The sequence below is a fragment of the Homo sapiens genome, chromosome 1 (genome assembly GCF_000001405.40).
Source record: "Homo sapiens chromosome 1, GRCh38.p14 Primary Assembly".
Lineage (NCBI taxonomy): Eukaryota > Metazoa > Chordata > Mammalia > Primates > Hominidae > Homo > Homo sapiens.
This window is the reverse complement of record NC_000001.11, coordinates 67,204,439-67,231,679: the sequence shown is the minus strand read 5'-3', so window position 1 is coordinate 67,231,679 and position 27,241 is coordinate 67,204,439. Positions and strand designations below refer to the sequence as shown.

Below are 27,241 nucleotides of genomic sequence, written 5' to 3'. Positions count from 1 at the left end.
ATGCTATGGCTAGTTAATGTTTCATCATGTTTTACTGTATTTATTCAATCTTACCCCTATTGAGAAACTGTATAGCTAGGTGGTTTCAAACACCAACTGCAGACTCAAACGAAACTCAGTCCAAGTCCTGGCTCTACTAGATGGAGTTCCATGGCCCTGGGCAAATTGCTTAACCCCTCAGTGACTCAGTTTCTTCATTTGTAAAATTAGATAAAAGCAGTGAGGTCATGAGGTTTGATGAGACAGTTCATATCAAGCACTTAGTACCATGTTTTACACAAATAAAACCTTAATAAGCACTAATTATTGCTATTGTTGAACTTTTAGACTGGTTCCAAATTCTTACTATTATAATTAGGTTTTGGATGTATATCATTGTACATAAATTTCCTTCCACTGATTATTTCTTAAGGCCAGATCTCTACAAGAGGAATTACTGAGCCAAAGGGTATAGACATCTCTAAGGTTTCTTTATTTACTTTTGCGCTTGCCAATCTTGATGTCAAAGCCACAGTAACCAAGGCCTGCATCATAAAGGCTTTGATTAGAGCAGACACATGGACTTTTCTGGACCTTTCAGGGGTTCTAGATATTCAAGAAAGAGGAGTCATATTAAAGGAGACAAAGGATGTGTTTTTTTTTAAATCATTGGAGATTCGCCCCCACCCTCCCTCCTATTTTTCTCAAAACACAAATACCTCCTTTTGGTTTCTCTCTTTCGCATCTCCTTTTAATAATTCAGCTGTTTCACAGCACTTAAGTGCCATTTCTCCAAGCCAGGCCAGTTTAGCTCTGTGGTCAGAATTCAACATTATCGGGCCAAGGGTAAAGAGTTGAGTATGTCAATTAGCAAGGCAAAACTAATGCCAACATATCAAATAGGCACCAGAAGCCCAGGGCAGGGAAAACGGTGTGTCAGAACAAACTCATTACCACACCTTGAAAAACAAGTCAAGCAATGAATCATTTAGTGGATTATAGTATCAGCGGTGTATATAAGGGTAGCAGGGTACACACAGACATATTCAAGGGTTTATCTTCCTTCTTATATTCCTGGGCTTTAGGTACTTGGTATGTAGGGAGAAGGTAAGAAATCTACATATGGCAGTTACATTGTTAAAAAGAAAGAATAAGAGGAGGAAAAGGCAAAAAGCAGTAGCCACCCAGGAAATTTTCCTAAATGACAAGGACCATACAGAGAAGGTCTGATGTCAAAGTGTAGCAAAACTCTATATGAAAGAATGGACAGCTTCCAAGTCTACACAGTGGCCAACAGATTCCTCAGAAGTACACCCTTGCTCTCCAGGCATAGCATCTTCCAATCTGTATAGTCTAGCAGACATTTGCCATGTTTTATTTGCCCAGCACTAGGATATACTTCTTTGTGGGCATCCTAAAAAAGCTGAGAGGCAGTAGGGCTACAAGCAAATGGCCTAAACCTCACCAACCAGATGCCCCCTCCCCTAACACCCAGGCTGTGAATGTTGAAGGGTTGACATAGGGCTTCCAGAAACCACTTAGAATCCAATGTGGGCACCATAGCTGTATCCAGGGTACAGTGACAGTGGCACCAGGGCAGGCAGTGGCAGTGATCAGCGTCAGCTGCAGGGTCCTCGCCAGACTTTTCCTAGGCTGTGATTTTGGCTGTGGTTCTGGGTCCTGCTCTCACTCGGATCCTGTTCATGCCCATTTTGCCAGGCTTTCTACTGATTTTCAGCTACCTTTCTAATAATTCTCTTTCTGCTTAAGATAACCAGCCTTGATTTATTTTGCTTACACCTAATCATCCTGACTAGTAAAAACTGCAATTGGTGGTAGTGGTTGGGGAGGTAGGGAGATGTAGTAGGACAAATAATGGCATCATAAAGATGTCCGTGTCCTAATCCCTGGAATCTGTGAACAGGTTACTATAATATTACGAAGTACATATTGTGTCTTCATCCTGGTTTTCTGGCATACAAGTCCTAAAATCCTTAGAATGCCCAAAGTGGTAACGGTCATTTTGTATGCTAACGAGCTGACTAGTGGCTGGCCGCCCCTATGTAGTTTCAGGATGGGGGTTGTTCAGAGGAAAGATCAAGGCACGATTAGAAGGTTGGGATTTTTCAACCCATCCCCAACCTCCCAGAGGGGAGAGGGGATGAAGATTAAGTTGATCACCAATGGCCAATGGTTTAATCAATCATGCTTATGTAATGAAGCCTACAAAAAACCCCAAAGGCCTAAGTTCTAGGAGCTTCAGGATAGCTGAACACATGGAGGTTCCTGGCAGGTGATGCACCTGGAAAGCTTATGGAAGCTCCATGCCCCTCCCCACATGCCTTGCCCACTGCATCTCTTCCATCTGGCTGTTCGACTGTATCCTTTGTAATGCTGTTTATCATAAACCAGTAATCATAAGTGTTTTCCCAAGTTCTGTGGGGCATCCTAGCAAATTGATCAAATCTGAAAAAAAGATCAGGAAACAAACTCTAATTTATAGCCAATCAGATGGAAGTATAGGTAACCACCTATTACTTGAGACTGGCATCTGAGGTGGGAGTTGTAGGATCTGACACTATGTCTAGGCAGATAGTGCCAGAATGAATTGACTTGGAGGACACACAGCTGGTGTCCCTCAAAGAATCTGCCAGATAATTTGTTGCTGAGGGGGAGAAATCCCCATACACATGTTGGTAATCAGAGGTCACAGAAGTGACCTGTGTTGTGAAAGTACTATATAGCAAGAGAAATTGAGTATGTTCTTTCTACTCAGTTACCTTATAAGGCAAAAGGGAATTGAGAGGAAGTGGCTATCCTAGATTACATGGGTGGATCTGGTAAAATCACAAGAGTTCTTATAAGCAGAAGGGAGAAGGTTGAGAGTCAGAGAAAGAGATTGGAAGATGCTATGCTTCTGGCTTTGAAAATGAAGGATGGAGCCATGAGCTGAGGAATGTAGGCAGCCTCTAGAATATAGAAAAAGCAATGAAACTGATTCTGTCCTGTAGCCTCCAGAAGGAACATAACCCTATTGACACCCTGATTTCAGCCCAGTGGTTGTGATTTTGGATTTCTCACCTCCAGAACTATAAGATAATAAATTCATGTTGTTTTAAGCTTTCAAGTTTGTGATGATTTGTGACAGTAGTAATAGGAAACTAATATAGAAGATGATGACTTCAAGAAAAAGCATAATCATAGGCCAGGCATGGTGGCTCCTGCCTGTAAGCCCAGCACTTTGGGAGGCCAAGGTGGGCAGAGTTCTTGAGTCCAGGAGTTCAAGACCAACTTGGCAAACATGGTGAAACCCTGTCTCTACAAAAAAAAAAAAAAAGGAAGAAAAAAAATTAGCTGGGTATGGTGGTGCATGCCTGTAGTTCCAGGTACTTGAAAGGCCAAGGTGAGAGGATTGTTTGAGCCCAGATCTTATGAGCTGAGATCACACCACTGCACTCCAGCCTGGGTGACAGAGAGAGACCCTGTCTAAAAAAGAAGGGAGGAAGGAAGGAAGGAAGGAAGGAAGGAAGGAAGGAAGGAAGGAAGGAAAAAGAAAGACAGAAAGAAAGAAGGAAAGAAAGAAAGAAAGAGAGAGAAAGAAAGAAAGAAAGAAAGAAAAGAAAGAAAGAGAGAGACAGAGAAAGAAAGAAAGAAAGAGAAAGAAAGAAAAGAAAGAAAGGAAGAAAGAAAGAAAGAAAGAAAGAAAGAAAGAAAGAAAGAAAGAAAGAAAGAAAGAAAGAAAGAAAGAAAGAAAGAAAGATCTTTGTTCTGTAGTAATAGGTTGCAAACTTCAGGGAGATTATGGAACTCTTCTGAATTGTTTCCTATTCTGCAGAAACTTGGTGGTTTATCAGAGGCAGGACCTGAAGAAAGTTAAACCCAAATGAAAAGTCTAAAGTGATTAGAATTTCAAGAAACACCGTGTCTGTTTAACATGGGTTAGTAACCAATAGAGTCTACAAGTTCAGAACCCATCTCTATGTGGACAATTCACAAATCTCTAATTACACATAATAAAATGTTTGAAAAATACATTCTGTGTGCCATCATCTAATTTGCATTATATTTAATAGCACTGATATTTAGTTCCGTTAACATAATATTTGCTTTTTCCCTTTTAGCCACTTAAAAACCTGAAAAATTAATGAGCATCTTCAAGGAGTCACTGGTAGTGCAACAACCAATACTGTTTTGTGAGAGGAAAGCAAAATGTTGTTTAATATCTTGCTCATACTTGCCTTCCTCTGGAAAACTGTCAAAAAAAAAAAAAGAGTAATATGAGTTCTCTGGGAAACTTTTCTATGGCAAGCAGCAATTCAAGCAAGTGAATTAGTCATCATGAAATGTGACTGCCCTTCCCTTAAGCCTTTAACCTGTTATTAAAGGAATTATAGAACCTGTGTCTTTTCTTCGTTAAAAAGGGATCTATATTACAATGCAGAATTGAAAAAGATTCCTGGCTAGCCATTGTTGTTTCAGCTTTTTTAAGTCAGTAGTAGCAAATTTAGACTACTGACTTATACATTTTCAGTGTTGGTTTTCTACAATGACAAATTGTCTTTTCCCCTTTGGGGCTCTTTCCGCACTGCTGAAAGACCCCAGGATAACAGTGCCTATCAAGGTTGGTGGATCAGAAGCTCTAACTTCAGCAGCTCTCAGCGGTTCTCATAATCTCAGCTGAAACCTCACATCCAGAGACAGGGTGAGTTCTAGGCAGAAGAGGGTCATGTGTGATGTGATGGTTAATTACGACAACAGTCCTATATCCTGTGCTTTGGGGGGTTCCTGTAATGCCCAGGTGGGCTGGGGTGGTCAGTGACTCAGGAGAAATAGGAAACAGAGAGGTGACCAGATAGTACTAGAGATAATGGCCTAAGATTCTCACATGCCCACCCTTTTCTGTCACCCAAACCACTACTACTAAGGCGATGGTGATACAAACAGCAAACAGGAAAATACTGAATAAATGAGGGTGGTTCCCTGGCAGAGGTCCCACCCTCAAGCTTGGAAACCCATAGCCCTAAATAGAAGCAGGCATTCTTGTTTTCGTGCTCAAAAGTTGCCTTTTGGCCTGCTATGCCCCGCTATCCTGTACCCTCATAAACTCCAGACCCCAGGTTCCAGAAGCAGACAGAGAGATAAATAGAAGAGCAGAAGAATGGCAGAATGGCTCGGCAGAGAAGGACAGAAGAAAAGGAGCATCTGAATGCTGAGAGAAGTTCCCCTGGGGACGATCAGAGAGGAGATCGGCCGCTGGACAGCCAACTCCAGGGGAAGATCATCCTCCCACTCTATCCCCCTTCCAGCTCCCTATCTATCCCGCTAAGAGCCACCTCCACCACTCAATAAAACCCCCACATTCATCCTTCAAATCTGTGTGTGACCTGATTCTTCCTGGACACTGGACAAGGACCTGGGTACCAAGAGGGCACTGAGCTGGTTAACAGTTAAGCTGTCTGCAGACAGCAAAGCTAAAATAGTGAACTGTATCACATTCCCACTTGGGCTTTGGGAGTCACAGGCATCCACCCCTAGATGCTACTGTGGGGCTGGAGCCCCAAGGTGCTCACCCCAGCTCCTGCGCACCTGTCCATCTGTGTGCTCCCCCTCCTGTAACGGGTTTGAGCATGTGCCTTGGCAGAATAGATGAGCCACATGATATGCGACAGGAGTCAGGGAACTCTCCCGTTTCAATGGCTTGGGCAATCATATCCACTCTGCCTTTCTGTCCACATTTTCTGTCCATTCCCTATGTTGTCTTTTATGATGACACTTCCTTCTCTTAAAGAGTGTGTCTGACCTCTACAGCAATGGATTTTATGCTTCACTGCAGAAGTATCGCTTGGCAAAGGGCTCAGGAATCTGTACTTTAAGAAGTGCCCAAGCATTCAGGCCAGGCACAGTGGCTCGTGCTTGTAATCCCAGCACTCTGGGAGGCCAAGGCAGGGGGATCATTTGAGGTCAGGAGTTCGAGACCAGCCTGGCCAACATGACGAAACCCTGTCTCTACTAAAAATGCAAAAAAAAATAGCCAGGTGTGGTGGATGTCTGTAGTCCCAGCTACTTGAGAGGCTGAGGCAGGAGAATTGTTTGAACCAGGAGGCGGAGGTTGCAGTGATCTGAGATGGTGCACTACACTCTAGCCTGGGTGACAGAGCGAGACTGTATCAAAAAAAAAAAAAGTGCCCAAGCATTCTTAATGTAGATTGTCCACAGACCCTACTATGAGAAACAGTGCTTTCTAGATAGCCCATAATTAGCTGGTAAAGCACATGATGAATTGCCCATGATGGTCCTGTCTTGGCTAAGGCTGCCTTTTTTACCTATCCTTTATCCTCATCTCAGACTGCCCCTTCCTTACCTATCCTATCAGAAACCTCCTATAGTACTATGGTTTCATTCTCATCATCTACTGCAAATCTGCTTCCACATCTTGTATTCAAGCCAAAGTAGCAGTAGTCAGTAGTATCTTCTGGTTCTTTTCTCATGCGTTTGCATTTCCATAACAAACACTGCATTAGAAATGAAGCTCTGTTGGCATAGTTTTATTACTAGCTAATGTGTAGAGAATGATTTTGTTTCACAGGCGGATGCAGGACCCTCCTAGGTCTCTTAGGAAGGAGACTAGCAGAGCTATAAATAACATGGGTGCTGGAATCCCATAGCCTGAGTTAGACCCTGGCTCTACTGTTTACCAGCCTTGTAATGTTTGACAAAACTGCTTGGGCCATATGGTTTCATCTGTGCAACTGGGATAATAATTACACTCCTTTTATAGAGCTGCAGTGATAAATAAAGAACAATTCATATGTAAAATGCTTATCAAAATGCCCAACACTTAGTAAGCATCCAATAAATGTTAGCTATTATTATTTATTATCCTGAAGTCACCCTGGGATTCAGTCTGTTAATTGGCCTCTTGCTATTATATCAGATAGAATAAATGGGTATTCTGGAGGATTGATTTTCTTTTTCAGTATAAGGCTTTGTTTGTCCTATTAAAGTCTAAATACTCTAAGTAAGAAAAAGAGAATAAGTCATTAAAGTTGATTATAAGTGAGTTGGTTTGGTTCATTTTTGAGACCAGGTTTTTAATGGCCAAGCCAGGCACTATTCAGAGGGAAAGCAACAGAAAAGAATAAGAATGCCGAGGCTGCAGGACAAGCCATACCCACTTCAGGATTTGTCCTCTGGTCTTAGCTGGGCAGAATTTTGCAAACACATTGTATTGAGATGAATCAATTCAGTAATACACATGTCAGAATCTTAGAGACTAATTCAGAAAAGTCCTGCTTGGAAGAGGCATTACTGCCTGGGCTGTGTTTCTTCATAAATAAACCTTTAAGCACTGGAAAAGTTTGGCTGGCCAAAAAACCTCATTATCAAACAAGTTGGTTAAATAAATAATTACAGAAATGATATCATTTTATTTTTTCATTTGTGAGGCAATTCATACTTCAGCTGTGAAGTCTGATTCTTACTGCTTTTATTTACATCTTTATGTATGATGCAATGTAATTTATGTAATTATTATGCTTGATTTTTACTGTGTGTCTTCTCCAGAAGGAAACTTGTCCAAGGCAGGGAATTTTGTCTCCTTTGCTCACTGAGGTTCTGCAAGGATCTAAAAATGCCTGGCACATGGTAGAGGCTAAATGAGTATTTTGTGAATGACTGTCTTTTCATAGGTCCCTTTTTAAAAAGCAATCAATATTAAAGATTCGGTAAAAAGCAGTTCGACAACATACATCAGCATCTTAAAAGGTGCTTAACTCTTGATGCAATAATTCTTCTTTAGAACTAAAGGAATAAAGACCATTTATATACAAAGCTATGCAAAGAAGTTTATTGATAATGGATAAAATGGAAATGACCTAGATGTTATTTAGGTAGGGAAATGCCTAAATAAATTATAGTACATACATAAACGAGAATGCCGTGCAGCCATGAAATCAGTTTTTAAAAACTTAACAGGGTAGATTAAGTAAGAAAATCAGGATATAAAATAGTATATACATCATAGCCCCAAACATTAAAAAAATGCATAGGAAAAACTAGTATTAAATTAAATAAATGTAAATAGTGGATGTTTTTAGGTTGCATACTACAGTAAACTTACATTGCTTTTACACACAGAAAAAAAGGTACATTTTCAAAGAGATTTAACATGAGCACTTTCCCTAACACACTTTTACTGTTTCTCATGTAATGTGTCTTAGAAGGGAATTTGTACCAAGAGAACAGTCTATGGTTTCTCTTAGCTAACATGTTAAACTTTAATAAATCCAAGTTTTCAGGGATACTTAATTTTAATTGGTATTTTTGTCTCTTAAGTGATTTTTCTCCTCAGGAAACAGACCTTAAATTTAAACTGTGGTGTTCCTATTTCCTTCTACCTGAAGCTTAAGACTTTTATCTTTATTTTACTTTATTTATTTATTTATTTAGAGACAGAGTCTCGCTCTGTCACCCAGGCTGGAGTGCAGTGGCAGGATCTTGGCTCACTGCAACCTCCGCCTCTCAAGTTCAAGAGATTCTCCTGCCTCAGCCTCCCTAGTAGCTGGGATTACAGGCACCTGCCACCACACCCAGTTAATTTTTGTATTTTTAGTAGAGACGGGGTTTCACCATGTTGGCCAGGGTGGTCTTAAACTCCTGACCTTAGGTGATCCACTCGCCTTGGCCTCTTAAAGTGCTGGGGTTACAGGCATGAGCCACCACACCTCGCCAAGACTTTTATGTTTAAAGAAGAACATTTGTAGTCCTATACTTAGAATACTTAAGTAAGTTGCTCCTCTGCTTCCCTGAAATTAAAGAATGAAATTGCTGAGGGATGGTGGGGAAAATGCACAGTATTTTCACACTGGGATTAAAAGTCTCATACTCTACCAACTGACCTAGCCAAGCAGTTCAATATTTTGAATAAGAAAAGTTTTGTTATAGTTTAGGTGTCATTACCCACCAGCAATGTACTATTTAGTAAGTCATGCCCAGTTTCCGCTTTTGTAAAGTAGCGCTAATTACACTACCAAATATGGCTGACATCATAATCAAACAAGCTTATACACAGGAGTACTTCGTAAATGATAAATGGTAGTTATCAATTTGCATAATCTTGCTAGGCAGTTATAGAGTTCATTAAAAAAAAGGGTTATCAACTAAATTCTGACTATTATAAAATGGCATCTAAAGTCCACGAATTGTTAACAGTATCAACTTGACAGAATACCTTCAATTAAAAACTAACTTTTAAAAAAGAGAACTGATACTGAAAATAATTCCCTGGCTGGGTGCCATGGCTCACGCCTGTAATCCCAGCACTTTGGGAGGCCAAAGCGGGCGGATCACCTGAGGTCGTGAGTTCGAGACCAGCCTGCCCACCATGGTGAAACCCCGCCTCTATTAAAAATACAAAAATTAGCCAGGCATAGTGGTGGGTGCCTGTAATCCCAGCTACTCGGTAGGCTGAGGCACAAGAATCTCTTGAACCCAGGAGGTGGAGGTTGCAGTGAGCCGAGATCACACCACTGTACCTCAGGCTGGGCAAAAGAGCAAGAGAGCAAGACTGTCAAAAAAAAAAAAAAAAAAAAAAAAAAAAGAAAGAAAGAAAGAAAGAGAAAAGGATTCCCTAATAAGTTGTTTCTTCATTTTAACATTTTTAAATTTAATTTCTATTTATTTTTATTTTTTTTAAATAGAAGCAGAGTCTCACTATATTGCCCAGGCTGGGTTTGAACTCCTAGGCTCAAGCAATCCACCTGCCTCCATTTCCCAATGTGCTGGGATTACAGGCATGAGCCACTGCACCTGGCCAAAGTATTTCTAAGATTTGGGCAGTAGGAGATACCAGAAGAGCTTTGCAGCAAGTCATGCTCTTTGCTCCCTCTACTAATTTGGCAGCCATCAATATTTATAATGTATGTCAAAGTGCCTTGAAAACATAAAACACAATTCCAGAATGTTATAATAATGATGCTATTCATACTGGGATTATAATAAAGTCCTTCAGTTCTGAAAAGAAAATGTTAAATCTAGTGTATAAGGTACCTACAGTAGGGAGACATCTTTAGGTTAATGGGGCCATTAGGAGTATTATTACAATTACAATAGATTCATTTTATTATGTGCTTCAACTGAAGTCTATTTGGCTAAGATGTTATTGAATGGCATGAATAAATGAATATAAAATTAAACTAATAATATTAGAAGCAGGAAAATATCTAAAGATAAACAATAAATCAGCTAAATCCTGTTGAGGAGAAGAGAATTCTGTGTTTAGGAGTTTTAACTTTCTGATTGCTTTACATATAGTAGATAACGTTTATTGATATGATTGTTTTGTGTCTCTTTTAGGAGAATATGTTCTTAATAAAATTTTCTGAGATGGAGTCTCACTCTGTCACCCAGGCTGGAGTGCAGTGGCGCGATCTCGGCTCACTCCAACCTCTGTCTCCTGGGTTCAAGCCATTTTCCTGCCTCAGACTCCTGAATAGCTGGGATTACAGGCATGTACCGCCATGCCCAGCTAATTTTTGTATTTTCAGTAGAGATGGGATTTTGCCACGTTGGCCAGGCTGGTCTCAAGCTCCTGGGCTCAAGTGATCCAACTGCCTCCGCCTCTGAAAGTGCTGGGATTACAGGCTTGAGCCACCACACCCAGATAATATTTTTCAAAACAAGTTCTTAGCTTATTGTATGGCTCACAATTGCCCAGGATGTCACCCAGGCTAGAGTTCAGTGGCATGAACGTGGCTCACTGCATTCTCGACCTCCCAGGTTCAAGTGATCCTCCTGCCTCAGCTAGCATGGTGGACCGCATCTGTAGTCTGAGCCACTTGGGAGGCTGAGGCAGGAGGATTGCTTGAGCCCAGGAGGCAGAGGCTTCAGTGAGCTATGATTGAAGCCTGTTTAGATCAATAATTCTTCCTGTAGTCCCCAAGTAGCTGGGACTATGGGCGTGGGCCACCATGCCTGGGTAATTTTATTTGTATTTTTGGTAGAGATGGGGTCTCCCTATCTTGTCCAGTCTGGTCTTGAACTCCTGGGCTCAAGCAATCTTTCTGCCTTGGTCTCCCAAAGTGCTGGGATTACAGGTGTAAACCAGCGTACCCAGCCTCCCAGATGGTTTTTATACCCAGGAATGTTTGAGAACCATTATATAAATTGTAGTAAGCCTTAAGAAAATCAAAGCAAAATGACAATTTAAATGTTATCATCTGCCCTAGAATAGTTTTGTCAATTTTGGTCAAAGGTAAAGAGAAAAAAAATATCTTGTAGCTTTATTTTGTTTTTAACTTATTTATTATTATTATTTTTATTTTTATTTTTTTTTGAGACCAAGTCTCTCTCTCTTGGCCAGGCTGGAGTGCGGTGGTACAATCTCAGTTCACTGCAACCTCCACTTCTTGGGTTCAAGCAATTTTCCTGCCTCAGCCTTCCGAGTAGCTGAGATTACAGGCACCTGCCACCATGCCCAGCTAATTTTCGTATTTTTAGTAGAGACAGGGTTTCACCATGTCGGCCGAGGAGGTCTTGAAGTCCTGACCTAAGGTAATCCACCCACCTTGGCCTCCCAAAGTGCTGGGATTACAGACATAAGCCACTGCACCTGGCTGTTTTAAACTTTTTAGGAAACAGGGTCTTGGTCTTTCCTCCAGGCTAGAGAGCAGTGGGATGATCATAGCTCACTGCAGCATCAAACTCCCGGGCTCACGCAATCCTACTACCTCAGCTTCCCAAGTAGCTGCGACTACAAATGCATTCTACCACCCAGGCTAATAATAATTATTATTTTTCTGTACAGACTAGGGTCTCACTATGTTGCCCAGGCCAGTCTCAAACTCCTAGGCTCAAGCAATCTTCCTGCCTTGGCCTCTCAAAGTGCTGGAATTATAGGTGTGAGCCACTGTGCTCAGCAGAAAAGATATATAAAGAAAAGCCCAACAGAATAAAATATATAAGTACACTCACCTGTTTCAGGTGTTTTATGAAAAAACAGTGAACTCCAAGGCTGCCAGTACCTTTTGCCTGTTTCTTGACATCTCACTTGAAATACGTACTTAATGTTTGGCTCCAAGTAGAATTCTGACTGTTGCACATATGTAAAATTGGTGTCAAATTCTTTAACCTAAAATGGATGGGTAACAATAATAAAATGTGGTGTGCTTTTAAAACAACTATTTTATTTAGCAGAAATGTATGGAACACCTATTATGTTCCAAGCTGTCTTCTAGACTCTAGGAAAACAAAGTGTTCTTTATATAAAACGTGGCCGTACATAATCAAATACTGTCTCTGAAATACATTAAAACTGAAACACACACTGCTTTTTTTGAGATGGAGTCTCGCTCTATTGCCCAGGCTGGAGTGCGGTGGCTCGATCTCAGTTCACTGCAACCTCCGCCTCCCGGGTTCAAGCGATTCTTCTGCCTCAGCCTCCCAAGTAACTGGGATTACAGTCATGCACTACAACACCTGGCTACTTTTTTGTATTTTTAGTAAAGATGGGGTATCATCATGTTGGCCAGGCTGGTCTTGAATTTTTGACCTCAAGTGATCCGCCCACCTTGGCCTCCCAAAGTGCTGGGATTACAGGTGTGAGCCACCGTGCCCAGCCCATACTGCTTTATGTTTGACAACTGTCTCAAATCTCCAGAAAGTCCAAATGTGATATTATATATATGTGTATATATATTTATTTATGTGTGTATATATATTTATTTATTTATATGTGTGTGTGTGTATATATATATTTTTTATTTTATTTTTTTTCTAGATAGGGTCCCACTCTGTTGCCCAGGCTGGACTGTGGAGTGCAGTGGCTCGATCACAGCTCACTGCAACCTCCACCTCCTCCTGGGCTGAAGTGATCCTCCTGCCTCAGCCTCCCAAGTAGCTGGGACTACAGGCATGCACTACCATGATTGGATAATTTTTAAATTTTTCTGTAGAGATAAGTTCTCATTATATTGCCCAGGCTGGTCTCCTGGGCACAAGTCATCTCTCTGCCTTGGCCTCCCAAAGTGTTGAGATTACAGGAGTGAGCCACCATACCCAGCCTTAATTTTGGAATATATTCTTAATTTTGGAATATATTCTTAATTTTGGAATATACTCTTTTAATGGGGTGGAGAAATGGTAGCTGATAGCAATTGTCTGAATTCCCCTCTCCCCTGCAGCTGGATATTTAGATCAATAATTCTTCCTGAATGATGAAATAATTTTACTCGCTAATGGTGACTTTTAGAAAAAAATACCTATAAGCTAAGCTGTAAGTTGGTCCTCATTGCAGGTTATTGCAGATTCTACAAGGCCCAATAATACATACATATATATATATATACACACACACACACACACACACACACACACACATATGCATATATGTGTATATATGTATATATGTATATGTATGTATATATATATATATGTGTATGTGTCAGAGAAAAATTAAAATATTAAGAAAGTTGAACTGAGAAATCCAATGGAGGATAAAGAAAATAGCTGAGGGATAAACACAAAAATCCTTTTTTCCCTGGAGCACTACACCCTGCTATAAAACGTAATGAAAAATGAGCCCCAAACAAGCTGTTTCAGTTGGCAGAAAGAAACCAAGGCATTTGTACAGCATCTTCAGTATGTTCTAGTAACTGATTTACTGGAAAAAGTGAAGCATGATTGAAAGGCAGACATAAAATATGTCAATATGTCTAGAAATGCATTTATGCAACAACTAGGTGAAAGCAGTTATCAGATACTCATGAAAGAGAAAGTTACAACGATTGAGATTAAAAAAAAAAAAGAATGAGGTATCAACCTCATTCAGGGATGCTTCCATTTAAAACCCAACCTTAACATTAATCCTTAAAACTTGCAATGCACTGAAAATGTAAAATTCATGAAAATATTTGTTTGGGGGATGTCATCTGCCCTAGAATAGTTTTGTCTATTGAGACATGGCTTATGGAAACTCTGAATGATATTTTTCAAACTCTGCATGAAAGATATCTTTCAGAGTTTCCATAAGCCATGTCTCTATTCATGGCCCTGGAAATTTTCTGCAATGTTAATATAACTGGAGAGTGTCTGAGGTCTCCTGGGATCTAGAGAAATTTTACTTACTGTGCCAAAGATTTGACTCTCAAATGCACTCTGCTTCATATTAGTGTCTCTTGTAAGGAAGTTGTTAGTCTCCAATATGTTTGCTGCCATTACATTTATAGATAAGTCCTCTTAAAGGAAAGAAATACCGTAAAGTACAGCCAGAATTCCAAAATAGTAAGAAGAACGTTATGGAACTGTTATCAGTTGTTTAAACCATGAGGCAAACCAGGTGGCTGCTTAGGGCCCTGCAAGTACAACATGATACCTCAGGATGATATCTTTGGAGGCTAAAATGAACATTGAAAGAGCTGGACTTAATTGAGTGCCTCTGTAAATAGTATAATTTCAAGAGTGCAAGAAATTTTGAAGTAAGTCCATTTCTACTTAGAGCCTCAACTCTGAAGGTTAGGGGTCATTGAAACGTAATATTCTTCAGTTTGAGATCTCTCTTTTCTTATGTTAAATATAAGTTCCTGGGAACATCCTTGGGTGGAGGGAAGAAAAAATCTCCAACCTAGTTAGAGTTCTATAATTCCTACCTTCCCCAACTATCAGTATGGGGCATGGCACTGGATGAGAGGGTCCTTGGTAACCCACCAGTGTCTAAACCCTTGGTTTCTCCCTTTACCCTACAACCTCCTCCCCTTTCTGCCCAAGTAATTTTTATCTAGTGTTTGGTAGAGGAGGGAAATGGGGTGGTGATGGGGAAACTTATTTGTGACTAATCATACATTTTTCCACATTTTCTGTCTTATACCAACCTTCAGACTTGGAAATGCCGAAGCCAAGGATTTGTCTTTGCTATCTGTATGCTGTTCTATCAGCCCTTTCAAGAAAAGAATAAATACTTGGTTTTGTGCAGCCTAAGTTAAGAATGGTTTTCTCACTTTTAAATGGTTGAAAGAAATTTTTTTTAAAAAAAGACTATTTCATGATGTATGGAAATTATGTGAAATTCAAATTTCAGTGTCCAAAAATGAAATTTTAATTGGAACAGACTATGCCCATTCATTTACATAATTGTCTGTGACTGCTTTCACGCTACAAACACAGAGTTGAGTAGTTGAGACAGAAATCTTATGTTCTGCAAAGCCTAAAATGTTTACCATTTGGCCCTTGAATAAAAAGTTTGCTGAGACCCTGGTGTAGCTTAATTAGAGAAATGAGTCACCAATAATCCACTTACTTGAACACATAGCTGAGATTTCCCTGCCTCTGTCACTAAAGTTGGACACCATTAGACAAATAATAATAATAATAGTAATAGCTAATGTTTCAAAATATTATCCACATGAACTTGACATTATAAAAATCAATGGAGATGCAAAAAATGATCATGGCACATCTCTGCCTTCCATGAGTTCACAGTTAAAGAGTAGAGAAATAGAAGTGTAAACAGGCAAGTATATACAATGTGGCAAATGCCCTGAAACAGAGTATACGGAAGTAGGTGTGGATTGCCGTTCGCAACTGGGAGCTCAATTTTTGACATGAATTTGAGGGGCCTAGGAGACAGCCCATAAAGATACAAACAAATAGTTAGAAATATAGGTCTGACTTTCATGAGAGTTGGGAGGGCTCCAGTTTCTAGCCTACATACAGGTGTAGCTGAGGCCTTGGGAATAGGTGAAAGGAGTAAGAAAGAGAGGAGACAGTGAGATGGTAGGTATGAAGGGAATGTCAATGTTTAGGGAATTGGCAGAAAAAATAATTTACAAAGGAAAGGGCATCCAGAAATATTGATAGAAGACTAACACATTCTTGAAATGGGAAAACCAAGAGGAGAGACATTTTCAGGACAAGGTGGTCAACAGTGTCAAATGCTAGAGTAGGATGAAGACTGCCAAGGTTCTTGGTCTTTATTGTTTGGAAAGATGCTACCATCTTCCTCTCCTCACACGAACTGGTTCCAGCAGCAGGTGGAGAGCCTTGATGACATTTTGAGGTGGATTGCAATAATGCCCAGGTAATTTCCCAGCCCCATATCCTGGCCCTTTACCATGTAGCTTTGAACGTTCTCCCATTCTGGCTCTGGTTTGTCCATGTAGCTTGCTTTGAGCCAACAGACATTGGTAAGCCTGATATAAGCAGAGGATTGAAAGACACTGGAAAGATTGGGCCTTAGGTACTCTTGCCCTCTGCCATCACCATAAGGACATGCCCAGGCTAGCCTGTTGATGGCAGAAAGAGGACCAGGAGACATGTAGAGGAGAGCTCATGCAAAGACATAGGAGTGAGCCAGCTGAGCTGCAAACACATGCCCAATTCCAGCAAAGCTCACCTTAGACCAGCTGGACCCCACTGACATTGAGAAATAAATGTTTATTGTTATATGTCCCTTCAGCTTTTGTGGCAGTTTGTTACACATTATTGTGTAGCAGGACGAGCCGCAGACAAAACCTCTCAGACACCGAGTTATAGAAGGAAGGGCTTTATTCAGCTGGGAGCATCGGCAATCTACCGCCTTAAAATCCGAGCTCCCCGAATGCACAATTTCTGTCCTTTTAAAGGGCTCACAACACTACAGATTTCACATGAAAGGGTCGTGATTGATTTGAGCAAGCAGGCGGTACGTGACAGAGGCTGCATGCACCAGTGGTCAGAGAGAAACAAAACAGGGCAGGGAGTTTCACAATGTTCTTCTATACAATGTCTGGAATCTATGAATAACATCGCTTTCTAAGTTATGAGTTGATTTTTAACTACTGGGTTTTGGCCAGGCAGGCCCAGTCCTGGTTTCGGGCCTGGTGCTGGGTTGCCTGTCTTTGCTTTTACTTCCTTGTTGTTTTTTCTTAAAACAGGTACTGAGTATAAAAAAATATAAAACAATATGAGAGGGTCTCTCTCTTCCCTCAATCGTAGCAGTAGATAGCCGATATACCAATCCCTCTTATTTCATGTAAATAGGAGTATGTAATAGACTAGAAAAATGTTTAGAAAATAGAAAGGAATTATATTACCAGTGTCTCTGAATAAGTTTTCAGAAACCAACTGTTTTCTGGTTGAAACTCTCATTCTCTGCTCCCCCTGGTGGTGCTACATAGGCCATCTTGGTAACAGGTACATTTGAGCTCACTTTTCAAAACCTTCTCTTTGTCAGAAGTGGCAAATGGAACTGAAAGAATATTTGTTATCTCATATGGTCTTCATAACAATCCTTTGTGACAGGTAGTATTAGCTCCATTATATAAATAGGGAAACAGAGTTTGAAAGAGGTCAAGCCAGATTTTTTTGAACTTATACCATCAGTAACTGAGTGCCTCTCACAGACTCTACATCACTTTAAAGACCACATAAATATTTAGAAAATGAAAAGACAGGTCTCAAACCAACTTTGAAAAGCTAGTTATATTTTGTAATCAAGATTACATAGTAGGTGGTTTTTCTCTGAGATGTTTATTTTCTTTCTTTTTATAGAGATGGGGGTCTCACTGTATTGCCCCGGCTGCAGTGCAGTGGCTATCCCTGGTGGGATCATAGTGCATTACAGCCTCAAAACCCTGGCTCAAGTGATCTTCCTGCCTCAGTCTCTCAGGTAGCTGAATATAGGCTTGTATCACCCCTCCCAGCTGAGATTTATTTTCTTCTTGCTATCTCTGAGCCTTTACTAAAATCTGTATATATTCCAACCTGGTCTAAGCTAGACTTCTAGGGAATTCAGAAGGGAGAGAGGTAAATGAGGTGGGAGCAAGATGTTTGTAAATGTTCTCCCAGAGGCAGCTGTGTCTCCAGAGACAAAATCTGAAGCTTTGACCTGGAACCATCTTTCAAGAGATAACTAGAGTCATGTGTCACTTAACGACAGGGATACATTCTGAGAAATGCATCATTAAGCGATTTCATCATTGTACGAACATCATAGATTGTAATTACACAAACCTGGGTGGTATAGCCTACTACACACCTAGGCTATATGGTATAGCCTGTTGCTTCTAGGCTACAAACCTATAAAGCATGTTACTGTACTGAATCCTGCAGGCAATTGTAATATAAATCACTAGGTGACAGAAATTTTTCAGCTGCATGATAAGTTTATGGGACCACCATCATATATGCCATCCATCATTGCCTGAAACATGGACTGCTGCGTGGCACATATTCTCCTTGCCTCGTCAGCCTAATTCCCTTAGATACTTCACAGTCTGTATGTACCTTAGCTAAAGGGGCTGAAAAGCACCCTCAATACTGTGACTTTCAGTTGGATTCCTTTGCTCTACTATCCCTGCTGCATGGCTCCCCTAGAGGCTAGAGAGTAACATTACTAGCTAGCATTTAGTGAACAATTACACTATTCCAGGCTTGTAGCTAACTTCTTACATCATTGGATCCCCTTTCCCACAACAAACACATGATATAAGGGCTTATCTTATCCCCATGTTATGTATGGGAATAACGAGGCACAGAGAAGATAAGAAACATGCTCAAGATTGCATGACTAGGCCGGGCGCAGTGGCTCGCACCTGTAATCTCAGCATTTTGGGAGGCCGAGATGGGCAGATCACTTGGGATCAGCCTGGCCAACGTGGTGAAACCCCATCTCTACTAAAAATACAAAAAGAAGCCAGACGTGGTGCCCGATGCCTGTAATCCCAGCTACTAGGGAGGCTGAGTCAGGAGAATCGCTTGAACCCGGGAAGCAGAGGTTGCAGTGAGCCAAGATCACGCCACTGCACTCCAGCCTGGGCAACACAGTGAGACTCTGTCTAAAAAGAAAAAAAAAGAAAAAGAAAGATTGCATGACTTAGCCAGGAGCAGTGGCTCGTGCCTGTAATACCAGCACTTTGGGAGGCTGAGGCGGGATGGTTGCTTGAGCTCAGCAGTTAGAGACCTTGACACTAGCCTGGGCAACATGACACAACCCTGTCTCTACAGAAAAATTTTTAAAATTTAGCTGGGCATGGTGGCACTCTCCTGTGGTCAGCTACTTGGGAGACTGAGGCAGGAGGATTGCTTGAGTCCAGGAGGTCAAGGCTGCAGTGAGCTGAGATTGCGCCACTGCGCTCCAGCCTGGGCAGTAGAGCAAGACCCTGTCTCAAAAGGAAAAAAAAAAAAAAGATTGCATGACTAGAAAGTAGCAGAGCCAGGCTTTGAACTCTAGAGCCTGTGCTCTTGGCCACAAGGCTTTCCTGTCGCTTTGAAGTAAACCCCCCACCTCCAGCAATATCTAATGGAGGCAATGCCACCACGGAGCTAAAGTGGTAGAAGAGACCTGTAATCTTTGGTATCCTCCCACTCCTCTTGACTCTGACTTTCCTGTCTTCCTACAGACATGCAGAGACAACACTTCATGCATGACCCAGATGAAATTGACAGTAGCAAATGTAAACAAAGCTTCATTCTGGCTACAGTGACTTGGCTTGAGTGATCTGGATAGAAATGGTAATTCACTTTTTCTGTGTTAGTGGTTGTGTTTAAAGGAAACGTGGTAGATTGACTGAGGGAGTCATGAGTTTAAAAAAACTTTCTGAAAAAAATAATGGTGGAGGAGACAGAAGTGGCTTTGGATTGAAACCTGTCTTTTCATTTTCTAAATATTTATTTGGTCTTTAAAGTGATGTAGAGTCTGTGAGAGGCACTTAGTTACTGACGGTATAAGTTCAAAAAAATCTGGCTTGACTTCTTTCAAACTCTATTTCCCTATTTATATAATGGAGCTAATACTACCTATCACAAAGGATTGTTATGAAGAGCATATGAGATAACAAATATTCTTTCTACTCTATTTGCCACTTCTGATAAAGAGAAGGTTTTGAAAAGTGAGCTCAAATGTACCTGTTACCAAGATGGCCTATGTAGCACCACCAGGGGGAGCAGAGAATAAGAGTTTCAACCAGAAAACAGTTGGCTTCTGAAAACTTATTCAGAGACACTGATAATATAATTCCTTTCTATTTTCTAAACACTTTTTCTAGTCTATTACATACTCCTATTTGCATGAAGTAAGAGGATTTGGTATCCTTTTTTTTTTTTTCCTCTGGAGACAGAGTCACTCTGTCACCCAGGCTGGAGTGCAGTGGCTCCATCTTGGCTCATTGCAACCTCCACCTCCCAGATTCAAGCGATTCTCTTGCCTCAGCCTTCTGAGTAGCTGGGATTACAGGCACACACCACCAGGCTTGGCTAAATTTTTTGTATTTTCAGTAGAGACGGGGTTTTGCCATGATGGCCAGTCTGGTCTTCAATCCCTGAGCTCAGGTGATCCGCCTGCCTTGGCCTCCCAAAGTGCTGGGATTACAGGCATGAGCCACTGCACCCAGCCTAAGAAACTCAGTATTCTTTAATATCATTCTATGACTGTGATACTATACAAGGACCCCAGGTGTCTTATTAGGATAAAACCCCATTAATTCAGAATCTAGGACTTGAGAATTGTATTTGTGTTGTTTTGAAATTTAATCTAAATTCTGCATATGCAAAAGGAATTCAGCAGGATCTTCACTTGATTATCAATCAAATGATGCAGAACGTGGATCCCATTTAAGTGTATGCAAACAACCATAAAGTTCACATTTATGATTTGAGTGAACAAAGGTAAACAAGTTGACGTAAGGAATTTACTTTTAATGAGTAATTTTTAGGGTATATAATAAAATTAGTATAGTTTTGCCCCCATCTTCTTGATACTTTTAAGATATATTACTCTATAGCAAAACCGATACTCAGAATCAGTCTTAAACAGCAAAAGGATTTGGAATCATGCTTAGCACCAAAGAAAAATTAAGTTATGTTTAATGTATTTTAGTGTTAAATACATATCACTTTATTTAACGCGCTGAAAACTGGTAATTTCACAGCTGATACATAACTGTTAATTAAGAAAAGCCAGGCCAGGTGCTGTGGCTCATGCTTGTAATCCTAGCACTTTGGGAGGCTGACGAGAAAGCCAGGGGGAGGATTATTTGAGGCTAGTTCAAGACCGGCCTGGGCAACATGGCAAGAATCTACAAAAAAATAAAAATAAAAATAAATTAGCCAGGCATAGTGATGAGTGACTGTAGTCCCAGCTACTTGGGAGGCTAAGGCAGGAGGATCACTTGAGCCCAAGAGGTTGTGGCTGCAGTGAGCTATGATTGCACCACTGAACTTCAGCCTGGGTGATGAAGTGAGAGTCTATCTCTAAAAAAAAAACCTTAAAAAAGTATCGGAAGGGAAAAAAAAAGGCCAGAAACTATTTCTTAATTATTTGGACTAAATGGCAGTTTGTTACGCTTAAAAATAATCAAATAGCATTTCTTTTAAAATATATCAAAATTGGAACTTCTTCCTAAATCAGGCTAGTGTTCCTCCACAGCTGAAATTACTGAGTTTTATTACGTTGTTCCCAGGTGCTGTTATCTGATGTGACTTTATTAATGAACCTTGCAGCTATGCCTTTCTTAAGACACTAGATAATTTAACCTTGGCATTTAAGGATGGTTAGTTTGTTTCTCTAGACGTTCACTTTTTTAAACTCATTTTTACTCGGATTATCATCATCTTTAAGCTCACCTAAGACTCAGGCCTATACTGGTAATAAATATTACACTCTGAACTATACACTTTTCACTTAAAAAGAAACATTCATACATCTTAGTTCTCCTTTCCGAACAATTTTTGTTTCCCTGGATGCCTGTCAAATTTCAGCACAGAATACTTAAATTTTTTATCCATGATCACTGATATAAATTTCACCCTAGGAGACACTGAATTACAAATAGCTAATTAGATTCCTCTTAGTCGGAGCTTTGTCTATTTAGCAACTAATAAAAGGCAAGTGGATCGTTTGAGGAAACAGTTCTCTGTTTGCAAGCATACAATAATCATTATTAAAGCTAGAGTGGTTTTCCTAAGTGAATTAACACAGGAACAGAAAATCAAATACCACATGTTCTCACTTATGAGTGGGAGCTAAACACTGGGTACTGCATTAGTCTGTTTTCATGCTGTTGATAAAGACACACTGGAGACTGGGAAGAAAAAGAGGTTTAATTGGACTTATAGCTCCATATGGCTGGAGAGGCCTCAGAATGATGATGGGTGGTGAAAGGCACTACTTAACATGGCAGCAGCAAGAGAAAATGAGGAAAAAGCAAAAGCGGAAACCCCTGATAAATGCATCAGATCTCATGAGACTTATTCACTATCATGAGAATAGTATGGGAAAGACGGGCTCCCAGGATTCAATTACCTCCCCTGGCTCCCTCCCACAACATGTGGGAATTCTGGGAGATACAATTCAAGTTGAGATTTGATGGGGGCACAGCAAAACCATGTCATTCCATCCCTGGCCCCTCCAAATTCGTGTCCTCACATTTCAAAACCAACTATGCCTTCCCAATTGTCCCCCAAAGTCATAACTCATTTCAGCATTAACCCAAAAGTCCACAGTCCAAAGTCTCATCTGAGACAAGGCAAGTCCCTTCCACCTATGAGCCTATAAAATCAAAAGCAAGTTAGTTACTTCCTAGATACAATGAGGGTACAGGTATTAGGTAATACAGCCATTCCAAATGGGAGAAATTGGCCAAAACAAAGGGGTTACAGCGCCCATGCAAGTCCAAAATCCAGCAGGGCAACTTTAAAGCTCCCAAATGATCTTCTTTTATTCCATGTCTCTCATCCAGGTTATGCTGATAAAAGAGGTGGGTTCCCATGGTCTTGGGCAGCTCCAACCCTGTGACTTTGCAGGGTACAGTCTCCCTCCCAGCTGCTTTCATGGGCTGGTATTGAGTGTCTGCAACTTTTCCAGGTGCACGGTTCAAGCTGTTGGTGGATCTACCATTCTGGAATCTGGAGGATGGTGGCCCTCTTCTCACAGCTCCACTAGGCAATGCCCCACTAGGGACTCTGTGTGGAGGCTCAGACCCCACATTTTGCTTCCACACTGCCCTACCAGAGGTTCTCCATGAGGGCCCCGTCCCTGCAGCAAACTTTCACCTGGCCATCCAGGCATTTCCATACATCTTCTGAAATCTAGGTGGAGGTTCCCAAACCTCAATTCTGACTTCTGTGTACCCGCAGGCTCAACACCATGTGGAAGCTGTCAAAGCTTGGGGCTTCCACCTTCTGAAGCCACAGCCCAAGCTGGATGTTGGCCCTTTGAGCCATGGTTGGAGCAGCTGGGACACAGGGCACCAAGTCCCTAAGCTGCACACAGCACAGTGACCCTGGTCCCAGCCCATGAAACCACTTTTTTCTCCTGGGCCTCCAAGCCCGTGATGGGAGGGGCTGCTGTAAAGGTCTCTGATGTGGCCTGGAGACATTTTCCCCATGGTCTAGGGAATTAACATTAGGCTCCTTGCTACTTGTGCAAACTTCTGCAGCTGGCTTGAATTTCTCCCCCCCAGAATGGGTTTTTCTTTTCTATTGCATAGTCAGGCCACAAATTTTCTGAACTTTTATGTTCTGTTTCCCTTTTAAAACTGAATGCCTTTAATAGTACCCAAATCACCACTTGAATGCTTTGCTGCGTAGAAATTTCTTCTACCAGACACCCTAAATCATCTTTCGAGTTCAAAGTTCCACAGATCTCTAGGGCAGGGGCAAAATGCTGCCAGTCTCTTTGCTAAAACATAACAAGAGTCACCTTTCCTCCAGTTCCTAACAAGTTCCTCATCTCCATCTGAGACCACCCCAGCCTAGATTTTATTGTCCATATTGCTATCAGCATTTTGGGCAAAGCCATTCAACAAGTCTCCAGGAAGTTCCAAATTTCCCACATTTTCCTGTCTTCTTCTGAGCCCTTCAAACTGTTCCAATTTCTGCCTATTACCCAGTTCCAAAGTTGCTTCCACATTTTCGGGTATCTTTTAAGCAATGCCCCACTCTACTGGTACCAATTTACTGTATTAATCCATTTTCATGCTAATGATAAAGACATACCCAAGACTAGGAAGAAAAAGAGGTTTAATTGGACTTACAGTTCCACATGGCTGGTAAGGCCTCAGAATCATGGTGGGAGGCAAAAGGCTCTTCTTACTTAGTGGTGGCAAGAGAAAATGAGGAAGAAGCAAAAGCGGAAACCTCTGATAAACGCATCAGATCTCGTGAGACTTATTCACTATCACGAGACTAGTGTGGGAAAGACTGGCCTCCATGATTCAATTACCTCCCCCTGGGTCCCTCCCACAACACCTGGGAATTCTGGGAGACACAATTCAAGTTGCGATTTGGTGGGGATGCAGCCAAATCATATCAGGTACTCATGGACATAAAGATGGCAATAATAGACACTGGGGACCACACTAGAGTGTGGAGGAAGGTAGGAAGGCAAGGGTTGAAAAGCAAATTATTGGTAACTATGCTTAGCACCTGGGTGACAGGATCAATCATACCCCAAACCTCAATACCATGCAATATATCCAGGTAACAAACCTGCACATGTGCCCCCGAATCTAAAATAAAAGTTGAAATTATAAAACAAAAACTAAAGTGGCTTGAATATCATGCAAACAATCAGATTAAAAACATGTAAAATAGACATAATAAGTCCACTGTAGCCACTGATGGTTGGCTTTTAAATCATTCATTCACATGCTAAAGCATAATGAAAGTTGAGCTTACATTCCAAGTTTGGTTTGTTGTAGCCTTGTATCTCATTTCACAGGAAACCTTTTCAATTGTTGTTTGACTATCCCAATAAATTATGGTCTTGGGCACTGTAGCATTTATAGTCTCAGCCCTGGAAATGACGGCTGCAGAAGGTATCACTAGAAAAAAAAAAAAAAAAAAAAAGACCTGGCTGTTTAAAACTTGCCTAGGGAGAAACTGGCATCTTTTCGTCAATATCTAGATATGAGAAAGCTCAAAGTAAAAAAAAATAAAATTCATGGTCTAATGAACAATTATGGACATTTTCTTATTTGCTAATTTGTTACATAGAAGAAAACTGCTGTTAAGGAAAATTCTATTCAGCCCATTCCCCATTAAAAAAAAAAAAACTGAACTCTAATAGTCCTGTCTTTCCCCCACCTTTCACTCCCTTACAATCCTAACTAATAAAATTCCAGAGCCTAGCCTTGTTAACAAAAGAGTATAAAAATGAGATAAAGGAGCTATCCCCTCTTCCCTCCATCTGTTCGAGGAGAGATGATATGCACCCAAATTTAGTTCAGATGATCAGATTTGAAAAGATGTTAAATTGAGCCAGGTGTGGTGATGTGTGCCTGAAATTCCAACTACTCAGGAGGCTGAGATGGGAGGGTCACTTGAGCCCAGGAGTTCAAGGTTGCAGTGAGCCATGATGGTGCAACTGTACTCCACCCTGGACGACAGAATGAGAGCTTGTCTCAAAAAAAAGAAAGAAAGGCTGGGCATGGTGGCTCATGTCTGTATTCCCAGCATTTGGGAGGCCGAGGTGGGCAGATCACTTAAGGTCAGGAGTTTGAGACCAGCCTGGTCGTCGTGGCAAAACCCTGTCTCTACTAAAAACAGAAAAAATTAGCCCGGCGTGGTGGTGGTGCGTGCCAATCCCAGCTACTCAGGAGGCTGAGGCAGGAGGATCGCTTGAACCCGGGAGGCAGAGGTTACAGTGAGCTGAGATCATGCCACTGCACTCCAGCCTGGGTGGCGGAGCGAGACTCTGTCAAAAAAGAAAGAAAGGAAGGGAAAGGAGGAAGGAAAAGAGAAAGAAAGGAAGAGACAGAAAGAGCAAGAAAGAAAGAAAGAAAAAAAAAGAGAAAGAAAGAAAGAAAAAGAAAGAAAGAAAGAAAGAAAGAAAGAAAGAAAGAAAGAAAGAAAGAAAGATGGATGTTCAATTCAGATCTTTTATCACAATAATCTTCTCCTTCTCTTGTGTATTAGGGAAACATATGAATATTTATATCTATTGCTAACTTGTTTTGTTCTCCTTTAAAATAAATCTGTCCTTCCTTGAAATTTTATTTGAAGAAAGCAGATCTCATAAGACTCTAAGGCTTTGTAAATTGTTGGCATGTTCTATAATAATAACCTTCACAGAAGGAACTGAAATTCTGATTGGTTATTTTATTAGTTGTTTTGTTATAGTAGGAGGTATATAGTTGGAATCGCTATGTTTCTAAACTGTGTAAATACTTGTAAGTTTGTTTTGTCTGAACAGAATAGAATCATTAACACTTTCCATTTCTCCCCTAAGGAACAATGAAAACCTATGACTTTGATAGCTGTACTATTTAACAAAGAACTCAAGGGCCTGTAGGCGTGGTTTTAGAGACCACTATTACAGGTTAATATTCTCTATGAATTAGTTTATTTTCATTTATTCTAGGTTTATAAAACTTTCTTTAAGAAAATTATTGTTTTACTACAATGACTATTATACTATTATTATCTAAAATTATGTGCAAAGGTAGATGATTTACAGAGAAAAACAAAAATTAAGGATTTGCTGTCTAGTAACACAGTCCTCTAATAAAATTTTGGGGGCTACACCTGGCGTAGAAGTAGCAGTAGCTTTAATTTAGTTAACAAGTTTACTGTACTCAACCTTTATCATCTGAATTCCATAGCTGATTTCCTTTTGCTAGTGCAAGCTTCTTGTAATAAGAATCAGTATTCAGGCTGGACGCAGTGGCTCACACCTGTAATCCCAACACTTTGGGGAGGCCTAGGTGGGCAGATCATTTGAGGTCAGGAGTTCAAGACCAGCCTGGCCAACATAGCGAAACACCTGTCTCTACTAAAAATACAAAACTTAGCCAGGTGTTGTGGCAGACGCCTGTAATCCCAGCTACTTGGGAGGCTGAAGCACAAGAATCACTTGAATCCAAGAAGTAGAGGTTGCAGCGAGCTGAGATCATGCCACTGCACTCCAGCCTGGGTAACAGAGCAAGACTCTGCCCAACCCCAACCCTGGAAAAAAAAAAAAAATCAGTATTGAGATTCTAGAGTCAAGGGCATGGATCCCTGGGGCTCTGAAATTGCTTAGGACCATTTTAAGCACCCTCAAGGCCATAAATTTCTCACCTCCTCCTGTCACCCACCTCCACCTCTGAGTTCGGCTTGGCCACTGTTATAGCAGCACAAGCATTCTAGGACCCTTTTGGCAAAAGAATTATTCTGAGGAGAAAGTAAAAATCTGTTTAGTCTTATGAGAAATGCAGATAGCACAGTAAGAATCACAGCATAAAGCAGGTCAGTGCAATCCAGATTTAAGTCTTTAAGTTTGAATGAGTTCATATTTTTGCAAACTGGCATTTAT

General features: G+C 40.8%; 1 protein-coding gene across 4 annotated transcripts in view, besides 2 other annotated features; it reads right to left on the bottom strand.

Moving 5' to 3' along the window:
- The window catches only part of IL23R (interleukin 23 receptor), a 127,267-nt gene that overhangs the window by 34,224 nt on the left and 65,802 nt on the right, over window positions 1–27,241 (bottom strand). For all 4 annotated transcript variants that reach the window (XM_011540790.4, XM_011540791.4, XM_047447227.1 and 1 more), the window contains exons 6-7: window positions 24,625–24,770; window positions 11,950–12,106 (exon numbers count right to left, since the gene is read on the bottom strand). In XM_011540790.4, coding sequence (XP_011539092.1) covers window positions 11,950–12,106; window positions 24,625–24,770 — 303 coding nt within the window. The remainder of the gene's footprint in view (window positions 1–11,949; window positions 12,107–24,624; window positions 24,771–27,241) is intronic.
- Window positions 2,516–2,695: an enhancer, noted in NCBI's record as "active region_1171". NCBI's record gives its function as "activates an Ori minimal core promoter by ATAC-STARR-seq in GM12878 lymphoblastoid cells {active_cell/tissue: GM12878}" and the evidence as "EXISTENCE:reporter gene assay evidence [ECO:0000049][PMID:35858748]".
- Window positions 16,176–16,315: an enhancer, noted in NCBI's record as "active region_1170". NCBI's record gives its function as "activates an Ori minimal core promoter by ATAC-STARR-seq in GM12878 lymphoblastoid cells {active_cell/tissue: GM12878}" and the evidence as "EXISTENCE:reporter gene assay evidence [ECO:0000049][PMID:35858748]".